The 19,907-nt window shown below is 36.4% G+C and overlaps 1 protein-coding gene across 2 annotated transcripts in view, besides 1 other annotated feature; it reads right to left on the bottom strand.

Moving 5' to 3' along the window:
• Positions 1–19,907, bottom strand: part of VPS13B (vacuolar protein sorting 13 homolog B) — an 864,307-nt gene that overhangs the window by 237,504 nt on the left and 606,896 nt on the right. The gene's annotated exons all lie outside the window — the stretch shown is intronic.
• Positions 19,041–19,229: a silencer, noted in NCBI's record as "fragment chr8:100633076-100633264 (GRCh37/hg19 assembly coordinates)". NCBI's record gives its function as "represses an EF-1alpha promoter that drives an FKBP-Casp9 reporter gene in an ReSE screen in K562 erythroleukemia cells {active_cell/tissue: K562}" and the evidence as "EXISTENCE:reporter gene assay evidence [ECO:0000049][PMID:32094911]".

Genomic DNA, 19,907 nt, shown 5'->3' with positions numbered 1-19,907 from the left:
CTTTTCTTTTCTTTTCTTTTCTTTTCTCTTCTTCTTCTTCTTCTTCTTCTTATTATTATTATTATTATTATTATTATTATTATTATTATTACTATTTTTAAAGAGAGAGTCTTGTTCTGTTGCCCAGGTTGGAGTGCAGTGGTGTGATCATAGCTCACTGCAGCCTACAACCCCTCAGTGGTGGCTCAAGGAAGCCTCCCATTTCAGCCTTCGGAGGAGCTAGGATTACAGGCATGCACCACCATGGCTAGCTTATTTTTACATTTTTTGTAGAAATGAGGTCTCATAGTGTAGCCCAACCTGGTCTCAAACTCCTGGCCTCAAGCAATCCTCCTGCCTCAGCCTCCCAAAGCTGCTTATTATTTTAAAAACTCCTTAATTTGATTGGTAAAAAAAAACATATTTTTATATATAATAATATATATATATGCAATAACTTATATATATATAACAACTTATGTAAGAATAAATAAGTCAAGAAAGTGAGGTAATCCTCATTAAAATTCTTTTAAGAATATTTCTTGTTAATTGGTTTTTATAGTTGTTGAGAAAGTCACATTGTTAGAGAAATCCAGCATTAGCTATTTGAAACAAAAAGGACTTGTTTCTGTCCTTTGAAGACACCATATTCTTTCAAACTATGCAGTCTATACTGTGCTCTTTCCTTTCTTGGAGTGCCCCTCTGAGCTTGCTGTAGCCGATGAACATTTAGTTATCCATCAAGATAAGTGACATTTGTCCAAGAACTGTTCTCTCACTCTTTTCCTTCTTGGTGATCTTAGTAGTTCACTTATACTTCTATTATATGATATATTTTACTAAAATGTTTTGTGGTGACAGTATCAGACAGTGTTAAGACAACATATAGGCTTTGTAGTCACACAGATGTGGGATCAAGTCCAACACTCTCTAATTGTATGACTCTGAACAAATTACAAATCTAAGGCTATATAATATCATTTGTAAAATGAGGATAATAACTCCTACTTCAGAGAGTTACTGCAATGACTGAATGAACAGCACAGTGCCTGCCTTACAGTAAATATCCAACAATGGGCAGCTGTTATGTGTTTGTCTCTTTTACCAGGTGAAGAACTGTTAGAGGGAATGGAGTATACAATTCTGCTTCTATATATCACTGAAGAGCAGGGCAGTGCCTAGCACACTGAAGAGAATCCACGAATGTTTGATATGTTTATCTTTGATACAACATTAAATGAAAAAATTGCCCAGCAGACTAGAGTTACATGATTGTTACGATATAAAGAAATGTAAATGGAGAATTCTCAATACTGTACTCCTTAAGGTCTTCCCCAGACATAGTCATTCATAGTGTCTTTCCTGATCTGCATACTCTACCTTGTGGGCTGATCATACTTCAAAGAATCCTATCTCTTCCGTCTGTGTCCTCACATTGGGACATTAATACCTAACTCATAGGGTTGCTGCAGCATAAAATTAATTAACATATTGAACAAACACAGTAGGCACTCTAAAAAGGGTAAGTTAAAAAATTCACCTTCTTTGTGAAGACTTCAGCAACCCTTCCAGGTGGTGCTAGTCCTTCCCACTGCTATGCTTTTATAACAAACTAATATTATAGCAATTTTCACACTATATTCTGTCTCAGGGATTGTGAGCAATTGAAGAAAAAATAAAATACCACTGAGTATGTTTATTATTTGCCAGACACTGTTAGCACATTACATAAGCTAACATTATAATTCTTTGAGGAGGAGTACTACTATCTCCATTTTACAGCTGAGAAAATTGAGTTTTATAGAGATTGATCAATAGTTCCAAGGTCAGACAGCTAGCAGGCTTTGGGTAAGAGGAAACATCATGTTAGTTTTCCTAGAACATACTATAGTGCTTATCACATAATAAAGCTTAATAATTGTGTGCTGACTGAATAAATGTATGAACATATTTAAAAATTCAGTAAGATAAAGATAATTGTTATCAAAATAAGTTTCATTTTAGTTATCCTTATTATGAAAATTTCAAATAAACCTCCAAATATATTACCAACTAGGAATTCTCACATAACATGTGAAAAGTGATGAAATCAAGTACTTAAGCAGTCAAATGTGAAATCAAGCATATTTTGAGGCATTACAAACTAAATATCTAAATACAGTATAACTAAAAAATCCTTTAGGTTGAGTTCCATGGCAAACTCCAATCAAGAACTCAAGCTTTATAAGCTATTTTCATTCTTTGACTCAGGAAAGTCAACCACAATTAACTAAATGAAACTATAGTTTCTATGCATAGAGCATTTTTTACTTCTGATTTACAGATTTATACTTAAAATCTACTCTCTCCCTCTTTAAAGTGGATTAAGTGTTCCCATAGGTGTTAACATAAAACAACAAACCACCTGTAGAGAAAGGTAAAGAAATTTAGCATCCAGCCTATATTATGTGCTGAGACTGCTACATTAGTCTCCAGCAAATGTCAAGTGGTGTGATCTTGAGCTATAAATAACCAGCAGTGGCAGGATGGCAGCTATCAGCTCAGGTCACAAAGGTTACTGAACAGAAGTCAGATGGTAACTAATTCTAATCACTACTGAGCAGAATGGAATTTGAACCAATGACCTAGAGATGAAAGACTCTGGCTTTCATTGGAAGGAAAAGAAAAAGTACAACTTACCCAGTACTAGAAAACTAAATTCCTAAAACTGGGTTAAAAGCCAGGATTTCCTCCATTTTTTTTAAGCCTCTAAACTATCTGTAGCACTGAAGTAAACAAGCTGATGATTTTGAGACATATTTAAAAATCCACTGGTTTGTCACCAGTCCACTGCAGATTTACTATATTGAAGGGTATCTGGTCCACTATTAAGAAAAGTTTTATAATTAATTATGTGTGCTGGGCCCTAAACTTGGGCATCAATTTACTATTCCTTTGTGGAAAACGAAGAGTTCACAATATAATAACTCTGAAAGTAACTTGTGCTTTATTATTGTCCAAGGGGACTAATAATTTAAGTTGTCAAAAATAGCAGTATCTGCTTGCTGTTGGTGCAGCAGAAACATGTATCTCTGGGCAGTGCTGTTACATCAGCTCTCCCACTCTTTACCTAACTTATTTAAGATGAACAATAAAAGTTTTCTTTAATTAGCTACTGGTGTGCATTAACATGATCATGATTAAGCCATAAAAACCAACTGTACATTACTTCGGTCCTCTGTTCCATATGTTTTGAATTATTCTGTTTGAAAATGTACTTTGCGTCCCTTTCAAAAGTTCGACCTTCTGCTTTCAGAGAATTAAATGCATATTACTGTATCGAAGAAGATAATGTTTCAGACCTCCAGGCATATATTAAACACACTGGCAGCACTTGAGACAAAATGCTTTACTTATTAGATACTTCCTATTCTAAACAGTGTCATCAAAGGCTAAAAACAAAATCCATATAAAAGCTGCACAATGCTTCCACACAGAACCTGTGCCAAAATCCCTGTACTTTCCAACTAATGAGGAAAGGATGTGTACTCTTAACATATGAATGTAAGATTTTCCAAGCATTCACTTTAGGAAACTGGGATATTGATTCCATATGGGTTATGTTAAATGGAACTGTATTGGTAAAATAACCTTTAAGATATCTGGCATGATAATGATAATTAATATTCAAAAGACTAAAACAAAAGGGAATTTAGTTCCACAATGGCTAATTAAAATAAAATGAAAAAATACAGCATGCCATCTATCAAGATAAATTGTTATTGTTTAAGAACTATTTAAATGCTGTTAAAATATACTTTTAGATAAAATCTGAGAGAGCTGGAAAAATATTTGTGGCTTAAAAATGGATAGTTTGGTGAAGAAAAAAGTATAGGACTCTGAAATTTTATGCAGAGATAACAGCTTTAAAGCCTTGAGCACAACCAGATGGTACTTAAATCAGTGGAATTCTACAGTTTCACTATCAACGGGTTTCAATATGAGACAGTTTTCAATAGCTAGGAAAACATGTCAAGTTGATAGTTTACTTCTTAGATCATTTCAGCGCATTTTCCCATCCTTTCACAGCTGTATACGGTACAGATACTAGCCACCATGGAGAAGGTGCTGAAAGCCGTACTGGTAGCTAACCAACTGTAGCTAATTCCTCTTTTCAATGTATTAAGATAGGTAAGTTTACCAGCTCACTCTGGAGTTTGGTTAAGAGGCATAGTGTCTCAGGAGTAGTAAATAAAACCACATTTGAATAATGCAACAATACCAAGGAATGCATTAAACTAATTTTGGGTTATATTAATTAGATGTTCTTCAGTAGCATTTTGGGGAAGCTTGATTGAAACTTCTTGTTCAGCCATATCAACATTTTTATGAACATATTCAAATGTCAGCTCATTAATAAAAATGTTGCAAATAAATGGATGCTTAAAATTTTAAAGAAAAACCTGTGGAAACCAACCTTTTGAGAATTATTAAGGACAAAAACAAATACAATTTTTGTTTTGATGGCTGACAAGAAAAGGAAATTCAGCATCTATTCCAGGCTTTTAATTAAAATTATGTGTTTTAATCTTTTTGTCTTTGTAAGAAAACTTACTATATACCAAACATATGCATATCCAAAATTTCTTCTAACTTCCTATCATAATTATGGTAATATAATAGCCGTGCTGAAGTAATATTTCCAACAGGCAACAGTCATACCTTTTCCTTGATCAAAATATATTTTGCCAATTATGAGATTATATTTCATATCTTATAAATTATAAAAAGTCAAGTGTAAAACCACAGAATCAAAGTGACAATCACATCTATATATAACTGTGATCTTCATCCTAATTTTACCGCCCTTGCTATAATGTAGTAGTATTTTCCAAAAAGTTAACATCTTATCTAACAAATACAGTAAAAAAAGTTACAGTATTTTAATGGTTTCACATACTGAGATTACAAAGGAGAATTTTTACAAACTTGAAAAAGTTATGCACCTCATTGTGTAAACATTTGCAAACATACTTCTAGCTCTATGCTTTAGAAGTTTGTGGGATGAGGTAGGGTGGGGTGGTTGGGAGAGGCTGTCGCATGCTTTTAACAGAGATAATCTACACTGGAAGCTTTATATAAATAGAAAATTGTATTAATTTAATCTAGACAACAATAAGAATATATTTTTAAGTCTCAAAATTTCAATGATGTCCATATTATGGTTCATAAACCTTTATCATTTTATTAATGAATTACCATCTCAACTCAGTGATGTGCTAGATGAAATTTATCTTAGCAAGCACATTAAACAAAAACACATCAAAAAGAATTGACTTCAATATGAAATGTCTCCTTTAGTGTCACCAATTAATGTTATTTTTAATGAAAAAAATAAACAAACTTGAACAAGCACTGTATGCACTACCTTACTACAGATACCCAGAGCTAGAAAACAAGGGCTTTTTATCTTTTATTTCTCTAAAACTAAATGCTATACAAGATCTCAAATAATATAATTGTTCCCAGTTGAATGGCAAAAATGTTTTTCACAATACTGCAGTAATTATGCAAAAGAGCAGAACTAATGATACCCATCACTGCTTAACAGACAGAAAGATAAAGAGTACTACAGTTTCAAGTTTTCCCTTTCATGAAGTTACTTTTCCGGCTCTTTGAAGTAACAGTATGAGGCCACTACTGCCTGCTAAGTGCTAACTGCAATAAAAGCAGCATGCAGATAGTTCAGTCAAGGTTGTGTTTTACTGCAGTCTGTGTTTGGTCTATTGTTCTAATTTAAGTTGTAAATTATGAAAAGGAACTAAGACTAGTGCTAAACTGACTATAACACCTAGATCATTATCAGTGCCTATTTCAATATGATAAACTAAAAAAAAAGTATATGTATCCACCTACCAACATGGGCACATAGGTAAGTTCAAAACCTTCCTGTTGAGATTTTATCTGCAGTGTTGACCTTTAGACTTTTGTGTGTGTTTGTCCCTTTATACATATATGATTTCACAGCATAAGCTTATTTTCAGGGACTTCTAAGTTCATGAAAAAAATAATTAGTTCCAGGCAAAACTTTGCATATAGTTTAACTCAAAAACAGTTCTCATTCTCTGTTCCGTTCTTTCTCTATGTTGCTCACATATATAGTGAATAGGAATAGGTTGGTCATTTTTGTTCAAGGAGACTGGATCTAATTGATTTATACTAGGCTCTGAGTTTAAGTTTGACTTGTTTGCTTTTTGTAATGAATTCAGTTAAAACACGCACACACACACACACACACACACACACACACACCTGACACATTCTGGCAACTTGGACCTTAATCAAAACAGATGCCTCTACATAAGAAACAACAACCTGCTTTGAAATGGCCATGATGTTAATTCTTACAAAGTGGCTACTGTGTGTACAGGGTAACTACTCTTCAGACTGATGAAATCCAAGGTTCATTCCACTGATGTCAATGTGGAAACCATTTTGTCCCATAGCTGCTTAAAGATTTTCAATAGGATTAAATCAGCTGCAAGTCCTCATTATATTAGGGTTTACAATTGTGTCTGAGTTGGAGTCTGTTTTTCATAGAATTTGACTCAGAGACTGACTTAGATTGGCTCCTTAGAGCTAGTCTGATTTTACCAGAAACAACTGTATCACATCAGCCACTCTCATAAACTTGCTTTAAGATTGAATCAGCCCTGACCCTGAAGCAGATGAAAGTTTACCGAGCCTATATGTAAGTCACAGAAAAGTTTGTATTTAGTTTCTGCAGCAATATAGAAGTCGACTGTGCTTATTAACTATTCCAGTGGGCCTCTGCCTTGCAACTGTGAATGTAATTTTTTGATAAGAAAACTATAGTTGAACTTGGAGAAATTTCTATTGATGAAATACATACAAATCCTTATTTGATTACTTTATCCCCTAAATCATACATATCCCTTTAAAGAAATTATGTAGGATTCATGGAAATGAAGCAAGAAAAAGACATGCTTTTAAAACTAATTTACCCCCAATATTCAGTACAAGTTGAGAAAGTGATGACAATGGTCAAGCAATTAACTTCATCCAGTAGCTGGTTTTCATTGCCAGATAGAAATATTTGACTTGATTTTCATTATTACTTATTCTATTTAATTTAAAAAACCTGGTGTAATTAATGCTAGATTCTCTTCAAAGTAAACCCAAGTCTCAATATTCTCTACTACCTAACTAATTTTATGGAAATCCATCAAGACCCAACAGAATGGAAAGTCATTTGCAAACTTGTATTAGCCACCCTTTACTTTGTATAGATCATATTTAAACTGAACTAAAGCCATATATTCTCTCTCTGTCATATGTTATCAATACCTTAAAAAGTAATGATGCAACAGACTTGAAATGCAATGGCTAAGATGTTAGAGAGAAATATTTGTTTATGCCCTGCAGCCAATTCTTCTTTTCCATTACAAATACTTTGTTCTTCTCTGCTACTCCATAAAAATAATCACTACACCAAAATGACCTTCCACACAAATGCTTTGATCATAACCTCTTCCTTCAATCCTTGGAAATTCAAAGTATTCTCTAAATCAGGTAAAAATTCCTAACAATATCTCTGGTCAGCTAGCCCCATAGCACCAGTAAATTTTAATATGCTGATATGTCACAAGTCATTCTTGCTGTTCTAAGAAAGCAACTTTCTGTATATTAATGAAGGTAATCTAATGTATACATTAAGCTTGGATATTTTTGGTCATATGGAACTGCTTGAATAAAGTTTAAAGGTTAAAAAGAAGACATTCTTCCTCTCAAATATCAAGCATCATCTTTTCAAACATTAAAGTAGTAATCCAGTCTCCAAACTGCTAAGAAAACTTTCTTTAAAAACTATGAATTAAAAAGTAAATTTTAATCATACCTGGTGTATGATTACCAGCTGATCTTATTAGGATGTCTTTTAAGGCTAAATTTTAGAATATCACATTCACAACACTATTACCAAATTAGCACCATTAAAGAGTGTTCTTAGACTTCAAAACTTTCTGACATTTCTCTAGTTAAGAAATAAAGTTTCTACTTTTTCTTACACTAAGATAATATTATTTGGTTAATAATATTACCAAATAATATTGTGCTGCTGGGCTTTAGCTAGAATAATTTATTGGGATAAAATATTTCCCAAGCTTCTTGAAGATAGAGCTAATGTCAAAACTAATTAGCAAAATGTGAAATAAAATTTAATTTCACATCATTCATTCATTCATCAAATTGCTATTGAGCATCTACTATGTTCTAGGCACTAGCTAAGGATATAAAAAAACCAAGCTTTTACCTTCATGAAGTTTACGTTCTAGGGGGAAGCCAGCCAATAAAATATATATATGTATATATAAAACACACACCCACACACACACCATATTTGCTGATAGACTGGATGTTTAGTATTATGAGAGAAAGACAGGAGTCAGGAACAATTTGAGTTTTTTTTAGTCAGAGCAACTGCAAGAATGGAAAAAAATGATTTTCCAGATGATTACAAGCAGCTTTCCAACCTGTCTATGTGTTATGCCAAAGCTTTTACAATTTGCTTTTCCAAACTTTGCCTATTTTGCTAAGAATCATAAATGACCACAGTGATATTCCCATAGGGGCATGACACTCACGACTGTACCCAATTTTAAAGGAATCTCTAGTTCAATTATGTTGTCTTCCTAGTTCCTCCCACAAGCCAAACCATTAATCAGCCGAGAACCATTCAAAGGAAGGCTATGATTAGAGACAATGTTCTAGGGTTGGACCTAGTCCTCTTTATAGACAAACATTTGGCAATCAGAGAAATGGGGCTAAGACATGAAGTCATGCCATGATTCCCAGAAAAACCAATTGAATGAGACACAAATTCTTGGGAAGAAATTTTGGACCTGGAACAACAAGACAGACATAAGATTTTTGAGATAAATTGGAGAAGGGGAAAAGGAGAGAGAGGCCTGGCCTCTTATAATACCTCTGTATTTCTAATTGCTACTAAGCATTTGGATGCCCCATTATCAACATCATAAACAACATATCTAATGCATCATAACATTTTTAATGTCTTTTACCAAAAACATCACCTATCCATTTTACATTTTTTTCTTCTCAAAAGCTCAACTATTAAATAAACTTTTGTGGCCCCCATCAAATACTATTGGTCATTCCTTCATTTCACTAATTACTCTTGCTGTTTCCTTTTTACTTTCTCACTGACCCTTTCCACTGTCTAAAGGCCACTTGCAAGAGTTCCTTAGTTAATTTCTTTCACAGGTCTCTCCCATTCCTAATATATCCCATATAGCACTGCCAGATTACTCTCAGAACACTTTCAATATTTACTTATAAACAGTTGCCCAATGAGAATGTAAGGTCCATGAAAACAGAATTTGAGAGGGTTTTTTTTCCCCTACATTATCACCTAGCACCTAGAACAGTTCATTGGTAAGCAGTAGGTGCTCAGTAAATCTTTACGGAAGGAAGGAAGGAAAGAAGGAGGGAGGGAGGGAGGGAGGGACAAATGAAGGGAATCATTTGCAAGGTGCTCATTAGATTCCTGGGTAGGGGAGTAGATAAAAGGATGAGTTAAAATTGGAGCCTACCTTCTAGGTTAGAGATGTACTCATTTACTAAAGATGCTTTCTGGACATACCTAAACCAGGACAGAAAGAAGCCAGGATTTGGACTTGTTGAAATGGCAGTAGAGACAATGAGGCTTAGGGAAACACACAAAAAAGACACAAAAGATGAAAAAAGAGCATAACTGTAAGGAAAAAGTAAGTGTATGGAAAAGAAAATGTCCCATTTGGCTCAAATAAAAGGTTTATTAATCAGAACAACAGAAGATGTGGTTGAAAAGGCAGGATAAAGCAAGACTCTGGGTGGCAGGTTAAGAGACTTGCACTCCTCATTTTAGGCCTGTCTTCAAAGCAGTGACTCTTGAGCACCTGAATCAGAATCATTTAGGGCACTTGTTTAAATAGAGATTCTCAGGCACCATGTCATAAGCATGTGACCTGAAGGTGGGACTTAGTGATCTGCACCTACAATGAACTCCCAGTAATTCTTATGCACGTTAATGTTTCAGAAACACCGCTATGCACAATGGAGAACTCTAAGAACTTTTCAAGCAAGTCAGTGACAAAAGGATGTTTGAGAAAAATTAATGCGATAAAAATGTGCAGAGGGGAGTAGGTGACTAGAGACTGCAGGTAGCAACACCAGTTGGAAAGCAATCAACTAGATGACAATTATGGGAACCTGAAATAAGGCAATATGTAAACTAGTAGGCCTCAGGTGAATTAGAGAAATCTTATTTGATTACTCCACCTCAGAATCTGGACATGGCAGATTACTGTTTACTAAATAATTTTAACCAGAATGCTGGGGCCTCCTCTTTAACCCACACCTCACTGCTCCTCTATTCAAAGTCTCCATTCTGGAACTTCACATTCACCTTCCTATGTCCAAATCCTCACTTGTGCTGTTCTTTCAGCCTAGAATGCTCTCCCTCATAAGAGTCCATTTTCCTCCGAGAGGCCTTCTCTTTATGAGCCCACAATAACTGCTCTCTTCCCTACAATGCTGTAGAACAAGCTGTCTCTATCACTTATCTAGCACTTAGTATATATACTGCAATTTTCTTTTAATCCTTACACTCTATATTGTAAGCTTCTTGAGTCCAAGAGCATGTTATATCCACTTCTGTAAATCTTGGGCACAATGCACATAAATGTGGCAAGATAAGTATCTGTAGATGGCAATGATGATGGTGATTAAGATGATAACAATGCTAACCTAATTAGTTGATTCCCTGATATTCTTTAAAGCAACAATGCCAACATATAGGTAACACTTACTGGATGCACAGTATGCTCCAGGAACTTTTCTATGTGCACCATGTACATCAACTCATTTAATCCTCAGAACAACTCTACTAAAGAAGTTTCTATTATTATCCCCATTTTAAGGCAAAAAGATTGAGGCCCAGAGAAGTTAAGCAACTTGCTCAAAATCATACAGCTAGGCTGGGCATAGTGGCTCATGCCTATAATACCAGATCTTTGGGAGGCTGACATGGGAGGACTTCCTGAGCCAGGAGTTTGAGATCAGCCTGTACAACATAGCATGATCCCGTCACTACAAAAAATAAAAAAAATTAGCTGGCATGGAGATGCATGCTTGTAATCCCAGCTACTTGGGAGGATAGCTTGAGCTTAGGAGTCTAAGGTTGCAGTGAACCATGATCACGCCACTGCACTCCAGCCTAGGTGACAAAGCGAGATCCTGTCTGCCCCCTTAAAAAAAAAAAAACACATAGCTAGTAAATGGTGAAACTGGAATTTGAACACTGGCAATATAACTCTGGAGTTCATTTTAAAATCACATCCTACATAGTTTGTCTCGGAACCTTATTTCTTTCATAGCTCTTAACCATGACTCAAAAATCTTTAAAGTTTTTGTTGTTGTGGTTGTCCACATGTTTCCTTACTAGATGGCAATATCCTTAATTGTAGGGACTAATTAGTCTTGTCCACTGCTACATATGTAGTGTTGGGCACATACTAGGTGCTTCATAAATATTTGTTTTGTAAAATGAATGAAAACATGAGGAAAAGGGAACAGGAGGCAGGAGTAGAGGAGTGAAGCAACACATACCATTATGAATATCTAAGACAGCTAGGGAGATTTTTTTTTTCCTGCAGATTTCAGACAGATGGCTTTCCAGAGAAAGCTCTTCATCAATACATGAATGTACTTTAAAATGCTGAAAGGAAAAATCCATTTGCAAGGTGCTGGAACCAGGTGTCTCTATTTTAGCAAATCACTGAATTCAAGAACAGGAAGTAGGGCTTGGAGATAGAGCACTGCACTAGGGAGCTAAAGATCTGGCTGAGTTCCACAGTTTCCACTAAGTCACACCTGTGTGCAGCTATGTGGGAAAAAACTGACTTTGTTCACAGCTTTCCTTTAGTCGACACGGAGTTAAAATGGAGTAATCTAGGCCAAGTTCATATTCTAAATTCAATGCATCAGAATCATGACTTGTTAGAGCTGGAGGAGGTTCTGGATCTCATTGTTTCCAGAGATTTTCAAACTACTTTTCTGCCACAGTACACTTTCTTCAAAGAACGTCTTATGGGTTAATGGAACAGTGGTTGAGGGGTGCGTAGGAGAGAGGGGATGCACAATCTGTAAAACATATAAAAGCAAAGTTGCCACAGAACAACTGTATAATGCATATGTGTGCATGTAATTTGAGGGCAACACAGCCCATGCTACAGGTCAACTGCCCCTTGATGTAATTTTTAAATTAGTATTATTTTTGATTGACAAATCATAACTATATACATTTATGAGGTACAGTGTGACGTTTTGATATTTGTACAAAATGTGGCATAATTAGGTCAGGCATGGTGGCTCACACCTGTAATCCCAGCACTTGGGGAGGCTGAGGCAGGCAGATCACATGAGGTCAGGAGTTCAAGGCCAGCCTGGCCAACATGGTGAAACCCCATCTCTACCAAAAATACAAAAATTAGCTGGGCGTGGTGGTGTGCCCCTGTAATCTCAGCTACTTGGGAGGTGGAGGTTGCAGTGAGCTGAGATTGCACCACTGCCCTCTAGCCTGGGAGACAGAGCGAGATTCCACCTCAAATAAATAAATAAATAAAATAAAAATAAAATAAAATGTGGCATGATTAAATCAAGCTAATTAACATATCCACCATCTTATCATCTTGCTTATTTATCTTTTTTTTGAGACAGGGTCTGGCTCTGTTGCCCAGGCTGGAGTACCTATTTTTTTATGGTGATACATTTGAAATTTAGTCTCTTAGTTATTTTGAAATATATAATACATTATTATTGACCACAGTCACCCTGTTATCCAATAGATTCTCAAAACTTATGCCTCTTGTCTATCTGAAAGTCTGTACTCTTTGATCAACAACTCCCCATCCCCTCCTTTCCCCTACCCTCTAGCCTGGGGTAATCAATCATTCTACTTTCTACTTCTGTGAGTTCAACTTTTTTAGATTTCACATGTGAGATCGAGCAGTATTTGTCTGTGCCTGACTTATTTCACTTAGCATAATGTCCTCAAGATTCATCCATGTTATCACAAAAGACAGAATTTTCCCCTTTTTAAGGCTGAATAGTATTCCATTGTTGACATATACCACATTTTCTTTATCCATTCATCTGTTGATAAACACTTAGGTTGACTCCTAGCTATTGTGAATAATGCAGCAATGAATATGGGAGTGCAGATATTTCTTTGGCATATTGATTTCAGTTCCTTTGGGTATATACTCAGAAATGGATCACATGATAGTTCTATTTTTAGTTTATTTTAGGAACTTCCATACTTTTTTCCATAATGGCTGGATGCATTTACATTCCCACCAACAACGCATAAGAGTTCCTTTTTCTCCGCATCCTCGCAAACTTGTTACCCTTGATATAATTTTTCAATATATGCTTTGAGATAATAATTCATCTACTTAAAGTGGATATATAAATGTGCTTTTTGTATATTTAGAGTTATACAACCATCACTACAATCAATTTTAGAACATTTTATCACCCCTTCCAAAGAAACCCCATACCCATTAGCAGGCACTTCCCCTACTACTCCACCTCCCCTACTTCCTGTGACCCTGAGGTAACCAGAAATCTACTTTTTGTCTCTATGGCCTTGCTTATTGTAGACAATTCAAATAAATGCAGCCATATAGTATATAGTCTTTAATGACTAGCTTCTTTCCCTTTGTACAATGTTTACAGGGCTCATCCATGTTATAACATGTACCTTATTGCTTTTTTGTGGTCAAGTAATATTCTACTGCATGGTGCACTACACTTTTATTTATCTATTCATTAGTTGATGGATACAGGTTGCTTCTGCCTTTTAGCTACTACAAATAATGTTGCTATCACATGTACAAGTTATTGTGTTGGACATATGTTTTCATTTCATCTAAGATCACAAAAAATTACTCCTATGTTTTCTTCTAAGAGTTTTATAATTTTAGTTCTTACATTTAGGTCTGATTCATTTTGTGTTAATTTTTGCATACGGTATGTGGTTTCCTCTAATTCTGTTTATTTCTGTAAAGTCAGTATTACTGTCACCTCTTTCATTCCAGATTTTAGTACTGTAGTCTTCTTTTTCATAAACAGACTAGCTAAGAGTTGTCAATGTTGCTGGGTTTTTTTTGTTGTTGTTGTTGTTATTGTTGTTTTAAGGAACTTATTTTATTGCCCAGGCTGGAGTACAGTGGCGTGACCATAGCTCACTGCAGCCTCGGCTTCCTGGGCTCAGGTGATCCTCCCACCTCAGCCTCCCAGGTAGCTGCGACTATAGGCGTGTGCCACTATACTTCGCTAATTTTTTGTAGAGACAGGGTTTCATTATGTTGTCCAGGCTGGTCTTGAACTTTTAGGCTTATGTGATCGCCCGCCTCAGCTTCCCAAAGTGTTAGGATTACAGGTGTGAGCCATTGTGCCTGGTCTATTGTTTATTATTATTAACATATAGGAAACAGGTTCTCACTATGTTACCCAGGCTGGTCTTGAACTCCTGGACTCACGTAATCCTCCCACCTCAGCCTCTCAAAGTGCTTGGTTGCTGATCTTTTTGAAGGATGAAATTTTTTTAAATTTTCTCCACTGCTTTTCTATCCCCCTTTGATATTTTACAAAGGCCTTTGGGAAAGTGAAGAGTTTGAGGTTAAGTAAATAGCAGTTTCCCACCCATCCCACTTTTAAATAAATGACCACATGTCTTGGATGGCCTGAAACAATCCTATTTCATGAGTATTGTCTTGACTTACTTAGTAATAATTTATTTTATTCTAAAAATTTTCCTGTTTAGATGATAATATACATAGTTACCCTAGCAGAAGTTCTGGTCTAAAACTGTGGACCTCCTGCATGTTATATCTAACTTCCTCCCAGCCTTTTCTGTTTGTGTGTTCTCAGGCTTTAATCCCAGCACTTTGGGAGGCTGAGGCGGGTGGATCACCTGAGGTTGGGAGTTCGAGACCAGCCTGACCAACATGGAGAAACTCCGTCTCTACTAAAAAACAAACAAACAAAAATTAGCCGGGCATGGTGGCGCATGCTTGTAATCCCAGCTACTCGGGAGGCTGAGGCAGGAGAATCACTTGAACCTGGGAGGCGGACGTTGTGGTGAGCTGAGATTGTGCCATTGCACCCCAGCCTGGGCAACAAGAGCAAAACTCCATCTCAGGAAGGGGGAAAAAAAAAAAAAAAAGCAAAATAAGGACAAGGACAACACAAATATCAGTTCAAAGAGACACTTGCAGTCAGAATGGTAGAAAAGAAAGAGTTAAATCACAATGAAAAACCTGGTATGTTCAAGGTTTTCACTGGAACAAAAATGTTCATTAAAAGTGGGGGTAAATATTACTGCAATAAAACACAATGATGAAATATAGCTTCCTTAACACTGTAAAGACAGTGGGACAGTGACTCAAGGCACTGGCATATATTTTATTTTGATAATGTAGTTCACAATATAGCAGCTGACTTTATCCTTAGGAACACATTTTATAAATAGCAGGGATGGATTTTTAGGCCTGGCTACACCTACCAGGAAAATGATGCAACCATTATTCACCTCTTCCAACTATGGTTTTTACTGGCATCTTCTATGAGTTACACTTTGGCGCTCTTCTAAACATCATCAGGCCACAAGCTCAGTCTAAATCAAATATTTTTACAAACTAAACAATCCAGTGCTAAAAACTACCTAAGTTACAAAGATCTAATGCCATTTCCATTCCAAGGAATGGACTATTTTATACAGAAAAATGTTCTTACTACATCAAAAGAAAAAATGGTACTTTAAACCAAAAGAACTGGGCTGGCCAGAGCATCAGAAAAAATCAAACCTATACTGGCTACCAACTGACATACATAACCCACCAATGACATTTTCCAATCTCTGTATCCCATCTACCCACATAATGAATTATCTAGGCAAGTTAGTTCATTTGCTATTGGGTCAGTTAAATTGGGTTCACACAGAAAAAAAAAAAAAAAAAAAAAAAAATATATATATATATGTATGTTTCATAGACATAGCCTTTACCTTTAACTCTAACAACCTTGCAAATGTGAGCCCCTTTCACATTACTATTGCAAAAGAACAAGTGCATGTTCTTATGATGATAAATGAGTACCATTATCTCTGCATGTGGAGAGTATCTGATTTTCAAAAAGCTGAGGGAAAGTATATAAGCAATGCTGGCAAACTAACCTACCAAAGCCAGTGAAACTTTCATTTTCCCTACACTTGATCTCAGCCAAAAGGCCAAGAAGTGATTGAATATACCCTTTCCAGTGGCTTCAATTATCTCCCACTTCTACCACTTCTATCTGTAGTTTTACCACATAAGGCTCTGTATTGGTCAACTGCTACCAGAAGCAGCATAATATTACCTCCTCAATAAAACTGTAACTTCTTTGCGGTGATTCATTAATTATATCCATCATTTACTTATTCAACAAATTAGTAGTGAGCCCCTACTATGTGCCCAGTAATTTAAGGCACTGGGTAGATACCAGTAAAAACAAAAAACAACAACAACAACAAAAAAACTCTCCTTGTGGAGCCTATATTACGAGGAGGTAGGGAAATGTCACAAATAAGTAAATAATATGCAGTATGTTAGTAGATTATACATGGTATGAGAAAGACAAGAGCAGAGTAAAGGAGATCAGGAAGGGTTCTACAGGAAGACTGTAGTTTTAAATAGGGAAGTCATGGTAGGCCTCATCAAGGAGGAGACATTGAGTAAAGACTCAAGCTGCTGGGAAAGCACCTTTGCAAAGGTCTGGTGGCAGGAATCACAAAAGACATGCTCAAGGAACAGCAAGGAGGTCAGTGTGATGGACAGCATAGTAGAAGAGGAGGTCAGAGACTGATGGAGGGGTTAGATCTCATAGGGCCTTGAAAGCCATCATTGTCAACACTGGCTTTTCTCTAAAAGAAGCAGGACTCCTTGAAGAAAGCTTTTGAGGGGACAAGAGACTCACTTGACTTAGGTTTTAAAAGGATCACTCTGGCTGCTGTGTTGAGAATAGGGTACAAAAAGGAGATGAATTATGAGGCTACCTTAGTAATCTAGGTGAGAGATGATGGTAACTTGGAAGAGAGACAAACAGTGAAGGTAGTGATAAGAAGTCAAATTCTGGATATATTTTGAAGTTAGAGCCAAGAAGATCTCCTGACAGATTAGATACAACGTCTAAGAAAGAAACAGGAGGTGAGTATAAACTCATATTTGGCCTTAGCAACTGGAAAAGGGTGTTGTATATGACTAATATGAGAAAGACTATGGATGCGGTAGGATTGGAGAAAGGGAAAAATCAGGAGTTCCATTCTGAACATGCTAACTGCATACAGTGAACTGCCATAATCTTTGCAATAAAATTTCAGTTAATTCTCCTCATTATAAAATTATCTGTAGATTAAAAATCAATCTGTGCCCTTTTGTTTTTTAGGCAATCTAAAATTGTGTTGCATATCTCATATAAAATACCTTGTATCCATTACAGGATACTACTTCTCTCACTGGGGTAGTTGGAAATTCTAGTCTACTAATTAAGCATTAAGGAAAATTCCTGCTTGCTTTCCACTTACCAAAAAGAAATATGCTCATAACTTCTTGTCCCCTAGATTCAAGAATAAAATATCTCTGTAATCAGTGTCAGAAGACCTGGAGGCGAAACCTTGGCTCTTCCACTTCCCTGTTATGGGACCGTAATCTCTGCAGATCTCACTGACAACATAAACTGGAGAAAATACCTACTTTACAGGGATGGTGTGAGATTACATTAAATGATGTAAGTGAAAAAATTTCATGGATTGTAAAGAGCTATACCAATGTTAGCAGCTACTAATCTTGTCTCTAGCCTTGCAAAAAATTTGCACAAGACTTTTTAATTGTTTTGCTCATTCATTCATTGATATATCCTACCATCTTACAAAATGGAATGAATGTTTGAGACCAGCCTGACCAACATGGTGAAACCCCGTCTCTACTAAAAATACAAAAAAGCCCGGCGTGGTGGTGAGTGCCTGTAGTCCCAGCTACTCGGGAGCGTGAGACAGGAGAATCGCTTGAACCTGGGAGGCGGAGGTTGCAGTGAGTCGAGATTGTGCTACTGCACTGCAGCCTGGGTGCTGGGTGACAGAGCGAGACTCTGTCTCAAAAAAAAAAAAAAAAAAAAAAAAGAAACAAAACAAAAAACAAACAAACAAAAAAAGGAATGAATGTAGATAAGAGTCTTTTGAGGAATCTCAAACTAGCAAAAAACTCCTGATAAGTTTTCTTGGGGTTTCTTCAGTCTTTCTGCCCATGCCTTTCTAAGAGCTTTCTAGACAAGGGTTACAAAAATAACTTATCTTACATAAGTCAGATTCTGTTATAGCGAATTCTGCAACAAGACAATCACTAAAATGAAAGGGGAAAAAGGCCCTGGTAAAGTAATAGGAGTTAGCATGATAAAGCAATTAAGCAGTGAAGAGTGGGCTATATTACATGTTATAAAAAAGTCAACTGGGCTGATTCCAAAGTGCTAGGGTCAAAACAGAGCAGACTCTTAACAGATAACCTGCTGGGGACAAGAAGATTATATATAGCAGGGGAGGGAAAAGAGACGGCAATGGGGATTAATATCAAGATCTTGTCCTAACTATTGTCAATTTACTTTGTAAAAATTTTGGTCTGACCTTGATAGCCCTTCATCCTTATTTATGGAGAAGAGAAGGGAATGCAAGTAATCTTTCTCAATTATATCTCCATATACAGAGAGACTGGGGGATTTTGCTGACAAAGGCAAAAGGTGGAGTCTAAGTTTCCTGTTAAATCTTAGTAAGTCAGCAGCAGAACAGTGACTTGTGCTCTTAAACCAACAACAAAATTCTGTGGGAAATAATCTCAATCTTTAACAACTTCTTCCTAACCCTAACTAAAGGAGTCTGCAAGATTTATGAAGATCCTCTAGTTTTTCTTTCTCCAGTATGCTCTCAGACACATGGCACTTTTTTTTTTTTTTTTTTTTTTTTGAGATGGAGTTTTGCTTTTGATGCCCAGGCTGGAGTGCAGCAGCACAGTCTCAGTTCACTGCAAACTCCGCCTCCCAGGTTCAAGCGAATCTCCTGCCTGAGCCTCCTAAGTAGTGGGATTACAGGTGCATACCACCACACATGGCTAATTTTGTATTTTGTATATTTTTTTTTTTTAGTAGAGACAGGGTTTCACTAGGTTAGCCAGGCTGGTCTCAAACTCCTGACCTCAGGTGATCCACCTGCCTCAGCCTCCCAAAGTGCTGGGATTACAGGTGTAAGCCACTGTACCCAGCTGACACATGGCACTTCTTATCATATGCCATAATTATTTACTGAGAGGGGTGTCTTCTGATCTAAGGTGTGAGCTCTCTTGAGGTTGGGAAAGTATTTTATTTATCCTTATAACCACAGAGCCTTTGGCACATACATAATGGGAACTCAATAAAGGTCATTTTCCTGGTTCTCCTTCTATGCACAGCTTTCCCTCCCACCCTTTATTTCTCAGTGGCTAACTCCAGAGCTCTTTTAGTGAGATCTCATACATATTTCATTATACTTTGGTGCTGTAGGCTGCCCACACAAAAGTTAAGGCCAAGGAGTTTCAATGCAGGAAACCCAGTATTTTAGACTGCGTATTTCCTCATAAAGAAATGGAATGCTTGGGACATAAGAGGAAAACATCATTCCAGCAATTCACCTGAACTGGGTTAAACTTACTGCTGTCTTAAGAAGAATTTTGGTTTCTAGTTCTCTTGAGTCACCCTCAGTGGTTTTTATTGCAACACTATCATTCTTGTAAACTTATTTTTTTCAA

The sequence above is a fragment of the Homo sapiens genome, chromosome 8, assembly GCF_000001405.40.
Source record: "Homo sapiens chromosome 8, GRCh38.p14 Primary Assembly".
Classification (NCBI taxonomy): domain Eukaryota; kingdom Metazoa; phylum Chordata; class Mammalia; order Primates; family Hominidae; genus Homo; species Homo sapiens.
This window is presented reverse-complemented; position numbering and strand designations above follow the sequence as displayed.